This window comes from Homo sapiens, chromosome 19 (assembly GCF_000001405.40).
Source record: "Homo sapiens chromosome 19, GRCh38.p14 Primary Assembly".
In the NCBI taxonomy this organism is placed as follows: domain Eukaryota; kingdom Metazoa; phylum Chordata; class Mammalia; order Primates; family Hominidae; genus Homo; species Homo sapiens.
In genome coordinates this window covers 40,615,352-40,632,373 of record NC_000019.10, presented here as the reverse complement: position 1 = coordinate 40,632,373, position 17,022 = coordinate 40,615,352, and the positions used below count along the sequence as shown (strand labels likewise).

The 17,022-nt window shown below is 51.8% G+C and overlaps 1 protein-coding gene across 3 annotated transcripts in view, besides 3 other annotated features; it reads right to left on the bottom strand.

Annotated features, from left to right (window-relative positions):
- Positions 884-1,474: an enhancer, noted in NCBI's record as "H3K27ac-H3K4me1 hESC enhancer chr19:41136805-41137395 (GRCh37/hg19 assembly coordinates)". NCBI's record gives its function as "activates a minimal SCP1, AML or CMV promoter by ChIP-STARR-seq in naive H9 embryonic stem cells {active_cell/tissue: H9 hESC(naive)}" and the evidence as "EXISTENCE:reporter gene assay evidence [ECO:0000049][PMID:30033119]".
- LTBP4 (latent transforming growth factor beta binding protein 4) overlaps positions 2,554-17,022 on the bottom strand; it is a 36,655-nt gene continuing 22,186 nt past the window's right edge. For 2 of the 3 annotated variants that reach the window (NM_003573.2, NM_001042544.1), the window contains exons 23-33: positions 15,354-15,485; positions 15,149-15,274; positions 12,881-13,027; positions 9,707-9,973; positions 9,353-9,424; positions 8,642-8,770; positions 8,292-8,438; positions 6,365-6,517; positions 5,019-5,399; positions 4,517-4,669; positions 2,554-2,978 (exon numbers count right to left, since the gene is read on the bottom strand). In NM_003573.2, coding sequence (NP_003564.2) covers positions 2,824-2,978; positions 4,517-4,669; positions 5,019-5,399; positions 6,365-6,517; positions 8,292-8,438; positions 8,642-8,770; positions 9,353-9,424; positions 9,707-9,973; positions 12,881-13,027; positions 15,149-15,274; positions 15,354-15,485 — 1,862 coding nt within the window. In that variant the 3' untranslated portion in view covers positions 2,554-2,823. The remainder of the gene's footprint in view (positions 2,979-4,516; positions 4,670-5,018; positions 5,400-6,364; positions 6,518-8,291; positions 8,439-8,641; positions 8,771-9,352; positions 9,425-9,706; positions 9,974-12,880; positions 13,028-15,148; positions 15,275-15,353; positions 15,486-17,022) is intronic. The other variant, NM_001042545.2, reaches the window with a different exon arrangement.
- Positions 6,567-6,616: an enhancer, noted in NCBI's record as "active region_14660". NCBI's record gives its function as "activates an Ori minimal core promoter by ATAC-STARR-seq in GM12878 lymphoblastoid cells {active_cell/tissue: GM12878}" and the evidence as "EXISTENCE:reporter gene assay evidence [ECO:0000049][PMID:35858748]".
- Positions 9,141-9,781: an enhancer, noted in NCBI's record as "H3K27ac-H3K4me1 hESC enhancer chr19:41128498-41129138 (GRCh37/hg19 assembly coordinates)". NCBI's record gives its function as "activates a minimal SCP1, AML or CMV promoter by ChIP-STARR-seq in naive H9 embryonic stem cells {active_cell/tissue: H9 hESC(naive)}" and the evidence as "EXISTENCE:reporter gene assay evidence [ECO:0000049][PMID:30033119]".

Below are 17,022 nucleotides of genomic sequence, written 5' to 3'. Positions count from 1 at the left end.
TTTCTGTTTGTTTTTGGTTTTTTTGAGACAGAGTCTTGCTCTGTCACCCAGGCTGGAGTGCAGTGGCCCAATCTCAGCTCACTGCAACCTCCGGCTCCTGGGTTCAAGCGATTCTCCTGCCTCAGCCTCCCGAGTAGGTAGTATTACAGGCATCCACCACCATGCTCTGCTAATTTTTGTATTTTTAGTAGAGATGGGGTTTCACCATGTTGGCCAGGCTGCTCTTGAACTCCAGACCTCAGGTGATCCACCTGTTTCAGCCTCCCAAAGTGCTGGGATTGCAGGCATGAGCCACCGTGCCCGGCCCTATTGGTCCATTCTTACTCTGCCATAAAGATACCACCCAAGACTGGGTAATTTATAAAGGAAAGAGGTTTACTTGATTCACAGTTCTGCATGGCTAGGGAGGCCTCAGAAACTTACAATCATGGCAGAAGGCAAAGGGGAAGCAGTCACCTTCTTCACAAGGCGGCAGGAGAGACAGCGAGCCAAGGGAGAAGAGCCCCTTATAAAACCATCAGATCTTGTGAGAACTCACTCACTATCACGATAACAGCATGGGGGAAACTGTCCCCATGATCCAATCACCTCCCACCAGGTCCTTCCCCGGATTACAATTCTGATTACAATTTGAGATGAGATTTGGGTGGGGACACAGCCAAACAATATCAGATAGTTATTAAAAATATACATTAAAAAAAACTTTTTTGGAGACAAGGTATGCCTTTGTCACCCAGGCTGGAATGCAGAGGCACGATCACAGCTCACTGCAGTCTCGACCTCCTGGGCTCAAGCAATCATCCCACCTCAGCCTCCCAAGTAGTTGGGACTACAGGCATGTACCATCGCACCCAGCTACTTTTTTGTAGAGATGGGGTCTCACTATGTTGCCAGGCTGGTCTCAAACTCCCGAGCTCAAGTGATCATCCTGCCTTGGCCTCCCGAAGTGCTGGGATTACAATCGTGAGCCACCCCGCCAGGCCAAAAAAAAGTATTAACAATGGGGAAAATTCCCCTTCCTAGTCTAACCAAGCCTTAGGCAGAAGGTAATGTGTGCCTCAATTTTCCCTGCTTCCTGCTAACATTCCGGTTCTGGTCTTTGCAGCATATGAGTTTGAAACCCTGGGGACACAAGAATTGACAGGTGGGTGAAGAATGACAGGTACAGTTTTGTGGGTTTTTGTTTTTGAGATGCAGTCTGGCTCTGTCGCCAGACTGGAGTGCAGTGGCGTCATCTCGGCTCACTGCAACCTCTGCCTCCTGGGTTTAAGTGATTCTCCTATCTCCGCCTCCTAAATAGCTGGGATTACAGTTGCATGCCACCATGGCGGGCTAATTTTTATATTTTTAGTTGAGACCAGGTTTCACCATGTTGGCCAGGATGGTCTTGATCTCTTGACCTCGTGATCCGCCTGCCTGGGCCTCCCAAAGCGCTGGGATTACATGTGTGAGCCATCGCGCCTGGCTGAGGTACATTTTTTTTTTTTTTCCCAGCTTGGCCCAGTGCCAAGTTGATCACCCACGATTCCCGACCCCTACTCCTGCCCTAAGTTTATGCTGATCTAGGCCGTTCTTGTTTTTTAGGGAGGAGGAGTCTGGACTAGGAACATGGCCAGTAAGCAGGCAGGGCACATGGAGGAGGTCCGTGCTGGGCACTCCACCATCACACACAGAGCTCATTCCCGCCTCCAGCTGTCAGGACTGCCGCTCCATACTCCATCCACAGCCAACTCCTAGCTGGAGCGTCAGGTCTGGGTTTGGCCCTCCAGGGACTCCTGCTCCCTGCTCTTGCCCCACTTGTTCCAGGACAGCTTAAGACTTCTAGGCCAAGCACGGTGGCTCACATCTATAATCTCAGCACTTTGGGAGGCCGAGGTGGGAGGATCACTTGAGCCCAGGAATTTGAGACCAGACTGGGCAACATAGGGAGACCTCATCTCTAAAAAATAAAAGCTGGGTGCGGTGGCTCACACCTGTAATCCCAGCACTTTGGGAGGCCAAGGTGGGTGGATCACCTGAAGCCAGGAGTTTGAGACCAGCCTGGCCAACATGGCGAAACTCCGTCTCTACTAAAAATACAAAAATTAGCCTGGGTTGTAGTGTGCACCTGTAATCCCGGCTCCTTGGGAGGCTAAGGCAGGAGAATCGCTTGAAACCGGGAGGCAGAGGTTGCAGTGGATGGAGATGGCGCCAGTGCACTCCAGCCTGGGTGACAGAGTGAGACTCCATCTCAAAAAAAAAAAAAAAAAAAAAAAAAAAATCCAGAGGCAAGATTGCTCTCGAGATGAAAGAACCAAACAAAGAGAAGGGAAAAGAGAAAGACGCATGCAGAAACAGAAATGAAAAGACAGGATGTAGAGGTTAGGCAGAGAAAACAAATCAGAAAGAGACAGAGATGAGATAGAACGACAGAGACAGAGAGAGAAGGAAGACAGAGACCAAGAGAGGCAGAGAGACAGACGAAACTAGGGGTCAGAAGGGAAGGGAATGTCATTTAGTGACTCAAAGCACAAACTGGGGTAGACTTGGAGAAATAGACAGGAGGAGGCAAAAGATAGAAAATAGGTGGTTTTTAATGGAAAATTTTATAAAAGGGAGAGGGCATGTAAAGGGGCCCCTGGGCCAGGCCCGGGACCACGACATCAGTGGGAGGCGCTGGTGGAGGCGGGAGCAGTGCAGGGCGTCGCAGCTTCCAGGCGTCCGTAGGTCCCTTCTCCAGGTCCAGGCGGGCGGCCCCGTGCACATACGCATAAGCGGGCTGCAGGATGCGCGGCAGGGGCCCCGAGTGGCGGGCGCGGGTGGGCGGCCAGCGGGTGCCAGGGCTCAGGCCCGGGGCCGTGCGGGCGCACAGTGGTGCGGCTGGTGCGTGGGTGCGAATCCCGGGCGGCAGATGCAGCGGAAGGAGCCATCCGTGTTGAGGCAACGCGCGTTGACGCACAGCGGGGAGGCAGCCTCGGCCTCATCACACTCGTTGATGTCTGCGGAGGGGAGACAACGATCGCTGCTGAAGGCTGGGGCCCCAGAAGCTCGCCTCCTTGGCCCCTTAAGTTCTTGGAACAGAGGAGCACAGATGCTGAGCAGTTTGGAGTCCAATCTGGCCTCTGCCATCTGCTAACTGTGTGAGCCCGGCCAGGTGGCTTAACCTCACTGTGCTTCAGTTTCGTGTTCTGTAAGATGGATATGGTGGCCCATACCGCACTAGGATTTTGTTAAGAAAATAATAATGGCCGGGCGCGGTGGCTCATGCCTGTAATCTCAGCACTTTGGGAGGCTGAGGCGGGTGGATCACTTGAGGCCGGAGTTCGAGACGAACCTGGCCAACATGGTGAGACCCCGTCTCTACTAAGAATACAAAAATTAGCCAGGCATGGTGGCGGGCGCCTGTAATCCCAGCTACTCGAGAGGCTGAGGCAGGAGAATCGCTTGAACCTGGGAGGAGGAGGTTGCTGTGAGCCGAGATCAGGCCACTGCACTCCAGCCTGGGCGACAGAGTGAGTCTCTGTCGCCAAGAAAAGAAAAAAAAAAGAAGAAAAAAATACTGATGATGGTGTCAACAACAATAAATGTTCATGCATTGTTTTAAGCACATTACAAGTATTAACTTTGTCCTTCTAATACCCCTATTAGGTAGGTACTGTAATTCGTTTTACGCATGTGCCTCCATTTGCACATGACTCTCAATGTTATTGTAAATCAGTGTTAATAATATTCGCAATTCTATGAAATGGGATCTTTGACTGTAGCCATTTTTCATATCAGAAAAATTAGGTAAGGGACAGTGACCTGTCCAGCGTCACACAGCAAGTTGCTGGACTGAGTCTGAGGTCTATGTGACCTCCTCGAGTTTTGTTTGTTTTTTGAGACGGAGTTTTGCTCTTATTGCCCAGGCTGGAGTGCAATGGCGCGATCTTGGCTCACCACAACCTCTGCCTCCTGGGTTCCTCCCGAGTAGCTGGGATTACACGCATGCACCACCACACCCGGCTAATTTTGTATTTTTAGAGACGGGGTTTCACCATATTGGCCAGGCTGGTCTCAAACTCCTGACCTAATGATCCGCCCGCCTCGGCCTCCCAAAGTGCTGGGATTACAGGCGTGAGCCACTGCGCCCGGCTATGTTCTTGATTTTAATCACTTGGCTTTACTGCCATCCAAATTAGGCAGACTTGATTAATATTCCCATTTTACAGGTGGGAAGACTGAGGCTCTCCAAAGAGGTCCTGCAGACTGCCCAAGGTAGCACTGCAAGTCACACCAGCACTATTCTATTCCTCTATCCTGCTTCAAGGCCCGGCTCCAGCCCCGTGGTTAAGCCCTGCCCTGCTGGCACCCTGACTCCGCCTTCTTCAGTCAAGCCCCACCCAGGTGGAAGAATTACTCCTCCCTTTTGCGCTGGCCCGTCCCCTGTAGTGAGGTCCTTTCCCGTCCCTGACCAGCACCCCCTAGTCAGGGCTTCCACCCTCCCTGGACAAGCCTCGCCTCTCCCTGCGCATGCTGGCCCCGGGCCCGCCCTCACCAACGCAGGCCATGCGGGTCATGTCCAGGCGGTAGCCGTCGAAGCAACGGCAGGTGAAGCCTTCGGGGACGCGCACGCAGCGGCCGTTGGTGCAGCCGTCCAGGATCCCGCACTCCTCCGCCTCCAGCTCCTCGTAGGGCTCAGCCAGGGAACCTGTGGGAAATGCGGGGACCCTATGACTTGAGGTCCCTGCCTTCACCCCTTACCCACAACGGTGGGTGCGCGTCCTTGGCTCCATCTTTCTCGCTGTAAACTGTCCATCCCGCTCCAGGGCTGTGGCGGGTGCTGCGGGGCCAGTAAGCTTACCTCATTCTCTCGCCAGCTTTCCCTCTGCCACCTTCTCTTTCTTTGCCGGGCTATAGACACTTCTCTGTCCCTTTCTGTGGCTCTCTCCAGTTGCACCTGTGTTCCGTCTCTCCTCCCGCCTTCTGTTTCCCTCCCTCCTCTCTCCGTGCACACCTCACCCCTCATCTCAGTCTCATCATGCGCTGGCAGTGCTCACCAGCATAGCTTCCACCTTCAGGAGGCTCCTCGGGCTCTGGGAAGGAGCGGCGGGTGTCCCGGGACCGATAGGGCCAGCGGGTGCCCGGGCCAGGTGGCGCAGGAGCCTCAGATTCGCCATAGGGGCCACCATCGTCCTCAAAGTCTGGCATGTCGAAGCGGGGTGCCCCATAAGGAGCCTCCCGGCGGGCGAAGGGCCCAGGTGGCGGTGGGTAGGGGTCGTAGGGTAGCGCAGGTGGTGGGTACAACTCAGGCCCATATGGGAGGCCCTGGTAAGGTGGACCTAAGTCTGGGCCGTACTCGTAGGGGAGTCCAAAGCCACCTGGTCGCGGGGGGCTATATGCGGGGGGGCGTAGCACATTGCACAGGGCCTCGAAGTCATCTGGGAACAGGAGCCAAGGCAAACAATCAGCCCCTGCTGGCCCCCACACCCACCACTCACATACCCCCCTTGGGAGAGGAGGCAGAGGACTGGATGGGGAGGGTCCTGGGTGGCCCCGGGGTTTCTGGAGCCAGCGCTGAGAATCTGAAGGCTGAGACTGGGATTCGGACGTGCTGAGATCAAGGGTAATGAAGCCTGCTAAGAATCAGGGTCTGAGAGGCTGGAATTGGAGCGACCCATGGGAGCTAGGACTAGGGACCTGAAGAAATTAGATGGGGGTGTTCTGTGGACCAGGACTGGGGAATCCCAGGGATTGCTGCTGGGGACCTGAGGGGGCAGGATGCATGGGAGACAGTCTGAGGCACTGGGACCTGGAGGTCTGAGGACCCAGGACTGGGGCTTTGGAACTGGGTTCCTAAGGGCTGAGGACTGAGGGACTCAGAGGTTGTAGAAACCAAGACTTGGGAATCTCTGGGGCTGTGTGTTGGGGTCTTAGGCACCCGGATGTGGTGTGTAAGGCAATGGGACTTGGAGGGTGTCTAAGGCAATGGGACTTGGAGGTCTGTGGGGCTGTGACCAGGGGGTCTGGGGCCAGGATGGTGAGGTCTGAGCAACTGGCATTTCAGGTCTAAGGGCCCAGGATTTAGGGGAGGACATCTCATAGGCTGTGTCTGGTGGTTCTAGAGACCAGGAGCTGAGCATATGAGAGACCAGACCTCAGGGGCCTGTGGGTCTGGTACTATGGGATCTGCTGGGTCAGGCCTTGGGATGTCTGTGGCTGAGACTTGGAAGTCTTTGGAGTGTGAATCGGGGACCAAGATTTTGGGATGGGCTGCGACATAGGGGTTGGTCTAGGGGACAGAGTTTGGATAGAGTCTGGGGGTTCTGCGACTGGGGATCTGAGGGCCTAGATTTGGAGCCCATGGGGCAAGGCCTCTGAGTTCAGCCTAGGCCAGTGCCAGCACCTGAGTCCTGCGCAGGGCAGAGGGCGCAGTCCATGCCCCAGGCCTCTCCATACAGGCAGCAGCACTCTGTGTAGGTGGCCTGACGGTCCAGCCGAGGGTGGCTGCACACGAGGTCAGCCCCCACTTCCTGCCAGCACACTCCCAGATTGTCATCTGTAGGTGGAGACAGCATGTGTCAGAGTGGGCCTGGCACTCAGGTCCTCCCAGGGGCTGGACCCTTCCCCTGCTGAGCAGCCCAGGCACCCTCTGCCTATCAGCAAATCCTTCTCATCAGCTGTGATCTAACTCTGGAAGTTCTCTGAGGTCACTCCAGGGTTCTGGATTGAGGAACAAGGAGACTGTCATATAGGAGGAGAGGGCAGAAGAAGGTGTCCAATGACTGGGAGGTAGGGCCTGAGAGGGGTCTACCCAAGTCTGGCCTCTGGAGGGCTGTGTGGCCTCGGGGCAGTTGCTTTGCTTCTCTGAGCATTGTCTGACATCTCACTGTATGGGGGTAAGTGCTGAAGGCACAGGAAATGAGAGAAGAGTGGTTGGGACAGTGGGCAAAAAGAGAGGTGGCAAGAAGCACAGAGAGAGTGTGTTGGAGCCTGTAATCCCAGCACTTTGGGAGGCTGAGGTGGGGGGGTTGCTTGAGCCCATGAGTTCAAGACCAGCCTGGGCAACATGGCAAAAACCCATCTTTAAAAAAAAAAATATATATATATATATATATATATATATATATATATATATATATATATATATATATATATATATAAATACAAAAATTAGCCAGGCTTGGTGGCGGGCTCCTGGACTCCCAGCTACTGCAAGTCTGAGGTGGGAGGATCATTTGGGCATGAGAGGTGGAAGCTGCAGTGAGCTGTGATTGTGCCACTGTACTTCAGCTTGGATGACAGAGCGAGATCTTGTCTCAAAAATGAAAACAAACAACGACAAGTAGAGTGTTCAAGAGACAGAGCTTCAGCAGAAGTTGTTAGGGGCCTAGAGATAGGAAAATAGTCAGAAACGAAAAGGGAGAAAAAAGACCCAAAGAGAGAGAGAGAAACACATCCAAAGAGTCAAAGACTCAAAACAGGAAAACAAAGATACAGAGGCAGGAGAAAGGGACCTGAAAACAAAGATCCAGAGGGTGTCAGAAATTCAGAGAAAACCCCAAAGACAGAAATCCACAAACAGCTGGAAAGAGACAGAGACCTAGAGATGCAGATAAATAATAACAGGCAGCACTCATGTGGTACTTAGTAAAAAATAAATAATAAAACTAAAAATTAAAAATTAAAAATAAAATAAAATAAAATAAAATTCATCAGCCAGGTGTGGTGGCTCACACCTGTAATCCTAGCACTTTGGGAGGCCAAGGCAGGCGGATCACCTGAGGTCGGGAGTTCGAGACCAGCCTGACCAACATGGAGAAACCCTGTCTCTACTAAAGAAAAAAATACAAAATTAGCTGGGCGTGGTAGCACATGCCTGTAATCCCAGCTACTCGGGAGCCTGAGGCAGGAGAATCGTTTGAACCCCGGAGGTGGAGGTTGCAGTGAGCTGAGATGGCGCCACTGCGCTCTAGCCTGGGCAACAAGAGCGAAACTCCGTCTCAAAAAATAAATAAATAAAATTAAATAAAATTCCTCACAGCCACCCTATAAGGTAGGGGCTATTCACCCAGTGTGCAGAAAGAAACCTGGAGTCCAAGAGGCAACATGCAAAGGTTGCCCTAAAACTTTTGCCTTTAACCACCTAGCCAGCTCGCCTCAGAGAGACAGACAGTGGGACAGAGACTGAGTGAGGGCTCAGTGGGGCGTGGTCGAGCCAGGAGCATGGGGCGTGGCCTTCGGAGGGCGTGGCCGTCGCAAAGGTGTGGCCCGGGTGCGGGTGTGAGGCCGAGCCAAGGGAAGGAGGGCCTGGATGGCGTGGGCGGGGTTACCGAGGCTCTGGCTCTCGTTGGAGACGCAGCGGCGCTGCGAGCCATCCAGCACCAGTGGGGGCTCGCAGGTACAGTGATAAGAGCCCACAGTGTTGACACAGCGGCCGCCCTCACAGGCCGGTTCCTCATCGGCGCACTCGTCATTGTCTAGGGAGAGGATGATTAAGAGGCATCCCCTTCAACTCTCCCCACCCTTTCCCATTTCTCTTCCCAGCACATTGGCAGTGTGATGGATGGAGTCTAGACTCCAGGAAAGACTTCCCGCTGGTGGTGGCCACATTCCAGAGGGGAGCTGGCAAGGCTAGGGGTTGGAGAGAGTTGCCGGGGGTTGGGGGAGGTGGGGCTTGTACCGATGCACTCCAGCCGCTGTGTGTGGTAGTAGTAGCCGTTGCTGCAATAGCATGAGTAGCCCGGGGCCGTGTTCACACACACGCCACTCTTGCACACCTGGTCTCGGAAGAGCTGACATTCGTCCACGTCTGTGCGAAAAGCAGAGAGAGAGATGGGGGCGGGCTGGATGGGTGGAGTGTGTGAGGGCATGACGTGGGAAGACAGAGACAGAGCTGGTGATAGACCAAGAAGTAGAGACAGGGAAAGAAAGATGGAGAGGCCAGGAGCGGTGGCTCATGCCTGAAATCCCAGCACTTCAGGAGGCTAAGGTGGGCGGATCACTTGAGGTCAGGAGTTCGAGACCAATCTGGCCAACATGGTGAAACCCTGTCTCTACTAAAAATACAAAAAAATTAGCCAGGCGTAGTGGCTAGTGTCTGTAGCCAGCTACGCCAGAGGCTGAGGCAAGAGAATCGCTTGAACCCAGGAGACAAAGGTTGCAGTGAGCCAAGATCTCGCCATTGCTCTCCAGCCTGGGCGACAAGAACAAAACTCTATCTTAAGAAAAAAAAAAAAAAGAAAGAAAAGAAAGAAAGAGACAGAGTATGGGTGGGGTCGGGGAGACAGATACAGAGAAACAGAAAGGGTGAGAGACAGAGGCAAAGAAAACAGGAAGAGACGAAGCTGGGCCTCAGAGCTGAGTGGGGTGGAGGGTCAAAGGCTGGCCTCACCTCTCCGGAGGCTCAGGTCTCCACTGGGCGCCAGGTAGCCCCGGCCGTGAGGGCACAATGACTGGTACTCAGCTACACACAGAGACAAGCCTGAGCCAGGACACCAGAGCCCCAGCCCCAGCCCTGACCTGCTCGTGCCCACTTGTCACAAAAGTCCCTCTGGCCCTGTGCCTGTTAGTGCCCACCTCTCAGCCTTATGTCTGCCCATGCCCACCTGCCTGGCAGCTCGCCCTTGCCCTGACAGTACTAGTACCTCAAGGCCCTGTCCAAAAGTGTCCCCTGTCCCAGGCCCACACCCCACCCAGTATTTCCACCCAAGCCCTCAGCCCTGTGTCCCCATCAGCCCATGCCCACCTGTCTCGGTGCCCGGGCACTGCTGGATGCGGCAGCCGCTGCCCCAGCCCTCACCCACAGTACAGCAGCACTCCTGCCATGTCACATTCCGAGCCAGGATGTTGTCACATGCATCCGGGGCCGCTGTGTCAAAGTAGCACTCCCGGCGCCCACTCCCCACAGGGCCCTGCCTAGGTGTGCTGGGTCGGCGGGGCAGGGGTGGCGGAGGTGGCCTGGCGGGCAGAACGGGGCTAGCAGGTGCCTGGGGCTGCGAGCCTGGGAACGTGCCTGGGGAGACAAGGAGCTTTAGCCCAGTGTGGGCTGAATCCCCAGCCCCGCCACTATCATAGATGGGGAAACTGAGGCTGGCATAGATAGGGAAACAGAGGGTGGCAGCCATCAGTGGCAGAACCAGACTCCACACCTCTCACGCTCCTCTGTCACTGTTTCTCTTTCTCCCACTGTCACCTCCTGTCATTTCTGCATCTCTTGCCTCCCCACCTCACACTTTCCCGTCACTGCAGCTAACAGCTTGGGTGGGTGGTGAGGGAACTTCCCTGGCTTCCTGGATGCCTCTCTGGGTCTCTTATCCAGTGTGTGGCAAACTGGCTGAGTCTTCATCTCAAAACCTACAATTTGTCGCCAGGTGCAGTGGCTCCTGCCTGTCCTCCCAGCACTTCAGGAGGCCGACGCGGTTGGATTACTTGAGGTCAGGAGTTCGAGACCAGCCTGACCAACATGGTGAAACCCGGTCTCTACTAAAAATAGAAAAAATTAGCCGGGTGTGGTGGCGCATGCCTGTAATCCCAGCTACTTGGGAGGCTGAGGCAGGAGAATCGCTTGAACCCGGGAGCGGAAGTTGCAGTGAGCCGAGATCACACCACTGCATTCTAGCCTGGGCGACAGAGCGAGACTCTGTCACAAAACAAACAAACAAAAAACCTATGCCTTGTCTTGGACACAGCTTCCCCACCCAGACATCCACAGCTTGTCCACATGGCCTCTTGGGTTTTTCTCCCACCACCTTCTCCTCCCCTTCCACAGCCCCTGCCTTGGTCCAGCCCTGTTCTCTCCTGTCCAGGCCCCTGCCCCAGCCTGTTCCCTGAGCTCCCAGCCTCCATATCACCCGCTTCAATCACCTTCACATGGCGGCCAGAGGGAGGTTTCAAAATCTGATTCTATCTTTCCTGCTTAGAACCCTTCCATGAATACTACACAGCCATGAAAAAGAATGAAATCATGTCCTTAGCAGCAACATGGATGCAGCTGGAGGCCATTATCCTAAGCAAATTAATGCAGAAACAGAAGACCAAATACCACATGTTCTCACTTACAAGTGAGAGCTAAACAGTGGGTACTCATGGATGTAAAGATGCCCACAATAGTTGCTGGGGACCACTAGATGGGGGAGGGACAGAGGTACAAGGGTTGAAAAACTGGCTGTTGGGCCGAGCATGGTGGCTCACGCCTGTAATCCCTGCACTTTGGGAAGCCGAGGCAGGTGGATGACCTGAGGTCAGGAGTTCGAGACCAGCCTGACCAATATGATGAAACCCCGTCTGTACTAAAAATACAAAAAATTAGCTGGGCGTGGTGGCGGACACCTGTAATCCCAGCTACTCAGGAGGCTGAGGCAGGAGAATCACTTGAACCAGGGAGGTGGAGGTTACAGTGAGCTGAGATCACGCCACTGCACTCTAGCCTGGGCAACAAGAGCAAAACTCCGTCTCAAAGAAAAAAAAAAACTGGCTGTTGGGTACTGTGCTTACTATCTGGGTGACGGGATCATTTGTATCCCAAAGCTCAGCATCACGAAATATACCCAGGTAAAAAGCCTGCACATGTATCCCCTGAATCTAAAGTAAAGATGGAAATTATTAAAAATAAATAAATACATAGCTTTTTTTTTTTTTTTTTTTTTGGGACGGAGTCTTCCTCTCTCACCCAGGCTGGAGTGCAGTGGTGCAATCCCACAACCTCCGCCTCCTGGATTCAAGCGATTTTCCTGCCTCAGCCTTTCGAATAGCTGGGATTACAGGCGTGCACCACTACACCCAGCTAATTTTTGTATTTTTAGTAGAGACAGGGTTTTGCCATGTTGGCCATGCTGGTCTCGAACTCCTGACCTCAGGTGATCCTCCCGCCTTGGCCTCCCAGAGAGCTGGGATTATGGCCTTCAGCCACCAATCCTAGCCTAAATATGTAACATTTAAAAATTAAAAAAAAAAAAATACTGCAGCCTGGGCAACATGACAAAACCACATCTCTACAAAAAATACAAAAATTAGCTGTTGTGGTGATATGTGCCTGTAGTCCCAGTTACTCAGCAGGCTGAGGTTGGAGGATTCCTTGAGCACAGGAGGTGGAGGTTGCAGTGAGCTGAGATCACGCCACTGCACTCCGGCCTGGGTGAAAGTACGACCCTGTCTTAAAAAAAAAACATTTAAAAAAAATTTTCAAAAAAAAAACGCCGAAACCCCTTCCACGGTACCGCAGTGCTCTCTTACTGTGATAAGTCAGTGTGATCGGGCACCTGACTCTTTCCCTGGCCCCATCTCTCCCTACCCCTTCCTTTGCTCTCTAAATCATGCCATGTTGAACCTGTTTCAGTTCTTCTCACATGCCAGATGCTCTCTGGCTTTGCCAGGCCTTTGCCCTTGCTGTGTCCTCTGCCCAGAATGCCCTCCTCACTCATCGGGCCTGGCTCATTTCTATTCATCCCACAGCTCTCAGTTCAGATGTCGTCTCCTACAGGAAGAACTCCCTAATCCTCTTCTCATGCTGGGCCAGGCGCCTCCTCCAAAACCCCCCTGGGCTTTCCCCGTCACAGTCTTGTTGATTTCTCTGGGTTGTCACTATCTGGTGATATCTCTGTCTGCCCCATTGGCTTGTGAGCCCCTTGAGGACAGACAGTGATCCCTTCTGGTCACTACTATGTTCTCAGTGCCCAGAAGATGGCCTGAACACAGTGCACACCCTGTGAACATTTGTTGAATGAAAGAATCTGGTAGAGTCAGGACCAGGGTCTAATTCTCCTGACACAGTCTCACTACCCATGTTAACTTATGTGTCTTTTGTTGATGTTTAAAACAACAGTATTTAGCTGATGGTAGCTGTCCACATCAGGAATGATTAGACCACGTGATTTTCCCATGGGGCCAGCCGCCATCAGTTAAATAGACACATCAGTCTCACCAGCAGAAGTTCGTGGGGGAACACAGCGTCCAGTCATGGGGTCAAACTCTTCCGGGCTGTTGGGGCAGACACAGAGGAAGGAGCCTTCGACATTTTCACACAGGGCAGCTCCACATACACCCTGTAGTGTTTCACACTCGTTCACATCTGTAAGCAGGAGACAACAGGGGAGAGGGACTCAGTGGTTATAAGCTTCTATGATTCCAAAGGTCCGAAAGTCTCAGCTTTCAAATATAATGTGTATATTTAATGGCCCAGATCCCATCATCTGTTTTTCTTCTAGTGAGAAACCTTGAATTTCCCTTGGGAACCCTGTGCTCCTCTATTTTCAATCCTGTTCTTTGAGTAGGGCTATATCTACTCTGAGAGGTGGGCACAAGTTCCAGGAATGACCAAACAGATGACGGCATTTCTCTGGTTCAGACATAGGCAGTGATCATGCTGGGTCAATCAAAGCCAGGCCTGGCGCTTTTGCTAGAAATATTGAAAAAAAAACCTCCCTTTTTAGCTCTCGGGTGGCCCACTGGAGATGTTAGCCCAGAGGTTCTAGGGCCACCTTCATCATTGTGAAAAATAATCTGCCTGAAAATCATGCAATAGAAGAAAGCAGAACTCAGAGAAGATAGAAATAGCCTTGTTAAAATTCCTGGATCCAGTTATGCCTGGAGTTCAAATATATCCCAAGACTTTATAGTTTTAATTCCCTTTAAAGAAATAAAACCTGTTGTGTTTGCATTTGTGAAAATTTACAGAATGTATAATTAAGATTGCTGCATTTCACTGTATATAAATTGAACGTTGAATGAAAATATCTGTAGGGTACAATGGCTCATGCCTGTAATCCCAGTGCTTTGGGAGGCCAAGGAGGGAGGGTTGCTTAAAGCCAGGAGTTTGAGACCAGTCTGGGCAACAGAGCAATAACTCATCTCTACAGGCCAGGCGTGGTGGCTCATGCTTATAATCCCAGCACTTTAGGAGGCCACGGTGGGCGGATCACCTAAGGTCAGGAGTTCAAGACCAGCCTGGCCAACATGGCAAAACTCCATCTCTACTCAAAGTACAAAAAATTAGCTGGGCATAGTGGTGGGCACCTGTAATCTCAGCTACTTGGGAGGCTGAGGCAGGAGAATTGCTTGAACCCGGGAGGTGGAGGTTGCAGTGAGCCAAGATCATGCCATTGCACTCCAGCCTGGACAACTAGAGCAAAACTCTGTCTCCAAAAAAAAAAAAAAAACTCATCTCTACAAAAATTAAAAACATTAGCTGGGCGTGGTTGCGTGTGCCTGTGGTAGCAGCTACTCGGAAGCTCAGTTCTGGAGGGAGGATGGCTTGAGCCCAGGAGTTAGAGGCTGCAGTAAGCTATGATCAAACAACCACACTCCAGCCTGGGCAACAGAGCAAGACCCCACCTCAAAGTAAAAAAAAAAAAGAGAGAAGAGAAGAATACATTGGTAAACACATATTGAATTCTGGTTAGTGATATGCATATTGAAGAATTTATGGGGAAGCAGACTGGTGCCTGCAATTTACTTTTAACTCTGTCCAAAAAATTAGATGGATTAATGGATAGATATGTGAGGAAGCAAGTGTAATAAAATGATAATATAATCTAGATCATGAGTAGGTAGGTGTTCATTCTATGATTCTCTCAATTTGCTTTGTGTTTAGAAATTTTCCTCATAAAATGTTAGGAAAGATTAATGTTTATGAACACTTAAGATTAGTACTTTATACATTTATACTTTATACATTTTTAAAAGAACACACACAAAAATAAAACCTGATTAAGTCAGGTTTCTGTCACCAGCCACTACAACAGTTCTGATTTTTTTTTTTTTTTTTTTTTTTTTGAGACAGGGTCTCACTCTGTCACCCAGGCTGGAGTGCAATTGCACAATCTTGGCTCACTGCAACCTCCACCTCTTGGGTTCAGGCAATTCTTGTGCCTCAGCTTCCTGAGTAGCTGGGATTACAGGCATTTGCCACCAGATCCGGCTAATTTTTGTATTTTTAGTAGAGACGGGGTTTCACCATGTTGACCAGGCTGGTTTCAAACTCCTGACTTCAAGTGATCTGCCCGCCTCGGCCTCCCAAAGTACTGGGATTACAGGCGTGAGCCACCGTGCCTGGCATGAAGATGATCTTATATTCCAAAGTCTAAATTCCACAACCCGAAAATTCCCATTTGTTCAGATATATGGGGAGGGACAGGGCCTGACCAACCTCCCCCACCCCCTTTGGTCCCATCCACCTCCTGAAGTCCCGTACCCACGCAGTGACGCCCATCCCGTGCCCCCTCGTAACCCTGGTCACAGAGGCACTGGAAGGAGCCGGGCAGGTTCTGGCACACGGCGTGGGCACCGCAGAAGGACCGGTTCCGGCATTCGTCCACATCTGCAACCACCAGACAGTCAGGCCATTTCTGGACCTTCTACCATCTCCACATCTCACCCGATGCCTGATGGACACCCACCCTGGCATCCGCCCCCTGGCGTGGGCTGATAGCCAGGGTCACAGGCTGGTGTGCAGCGGTAGGAGCCAGGGGTGTTCTCACAACGCTGGGCTCCACAAATCTCGGGACCATATTCTTGGCACTCATCCACATCTGCAGAGTGTGGAGGAGATGAAAGGGGAGTCAAAGGCCTGAATTCAGAAGTTCTAACACCACTTCCGGTGCCCAAGACTAAGAAGTCTTTAGCAATCTGGTATTCTAGGAGCCTGAGCTTCTGAAGATCAACAATGTTGAAAACTTTGTTTTTTCTTTGAGACGGAGTCTCGCTCTTTCACTCAGGCTGGAGTGCAGTGGCTCAATCTCAGCTCACTGCAACTTTTGCCTCCTAGGTTCAAGCAATTCTACCTCAGCTTCTAGAGCAGCTGGGACTACAGGCATGCACCATCATGCCTAGCTAATTTTTGTATTTTTAGTAGAGATGAGATTTCACCATGTTGACCAGAATGGTCTCGAACTCCTGACCTCAAGCGATCTGTCCACCTCGGCCTCCTCAAGTCCTAGGATTACAGGTGTGAGCCACCACGCCCAGCCACTATCTTTTTTTTTTTTCTTTAGTAGAGATGGGGTTTCATCATATTGGCCAGGCTGGTGATGAACTTCTGACCTCAGGCAATCTAGCTGCCTCAGCCTTCCAAAGTGCTGGGATTATAGGCATGAGCCACCCCATCCAGCTTTTTTTTCTTTTTTTTAAATGGGGTCTTGCTCTGTTGCTCAGGCTGGAGTGTAGTGACAGGATCATGGCTCACTGGAGCTTCAACCTCCCGGGTTCAGGCAGTTCTCCCACCTTAGCCTCCTGAGTAGCTGGGATTACAAGCTTGTGCCACCACACCTAGCATAGTTGATAACTCTCAAGTCCTCACTGCCATTTCTCAAAAGCATGGTCCTGCCTCAGAGCCTTTGCACTGGCTCTTCCCTCTGCCAGGAACAGTCTCCCCTCAGCTCTCTGCATGGCTGCCTCCCTCGCTTCTGTCTGGTGTCTAGGTCAAGCCCTCCTAGCACTCCTCCATCCACTGCTCTGTCATCTCTGTCCCATTTGTCTTGCTTTGTTTTCCTTCCTAAACCTGATGTTATACGTATGTATTTATTGGTATGCCAACTGTCGCCTCTCTAGAATACAAACTCTACAATAGCAGGGATTTGTGTCTATTTTGTTCCTTGCTACATCTCCAGTGCCCAACATATAGTAAGGTGCCCCCCAGTTTTTTGTTGTATAAATTTTTTTTTTGAGACAATCTCACTCTGTCGCCGAGGCTGCAGTGCAGTGGCGCGATCTCGGCTCAACTGCCACCTCCGCCTCCCGGGTTCAAGCGAGTATCCTGCCTCAGTCTCCTGAGTAGCTGGGACTACAGGCGCATGCCACCATGCCCAGCTAATTTTTGTATTTTTAGTAGAGACGGGGTTTCACCATGTTGGCCAGGCTAGTCTCGATCTCCTGACCTCGTGATCCATCCGCCTTGGCCTCCCAAAGTGCTGGGATTACAGGCATGAGCCACAGCTCCTGGCCTGCTGTATAAATCTTGAATTTATTTACATATTTATTACCCCACAATAACTCCAGGAAGGCAGGGGTTTTTATATGACTTATTTCCTGTTGCTCTTATTACCTTTTCCAGACGCTGGCATAGAGTAG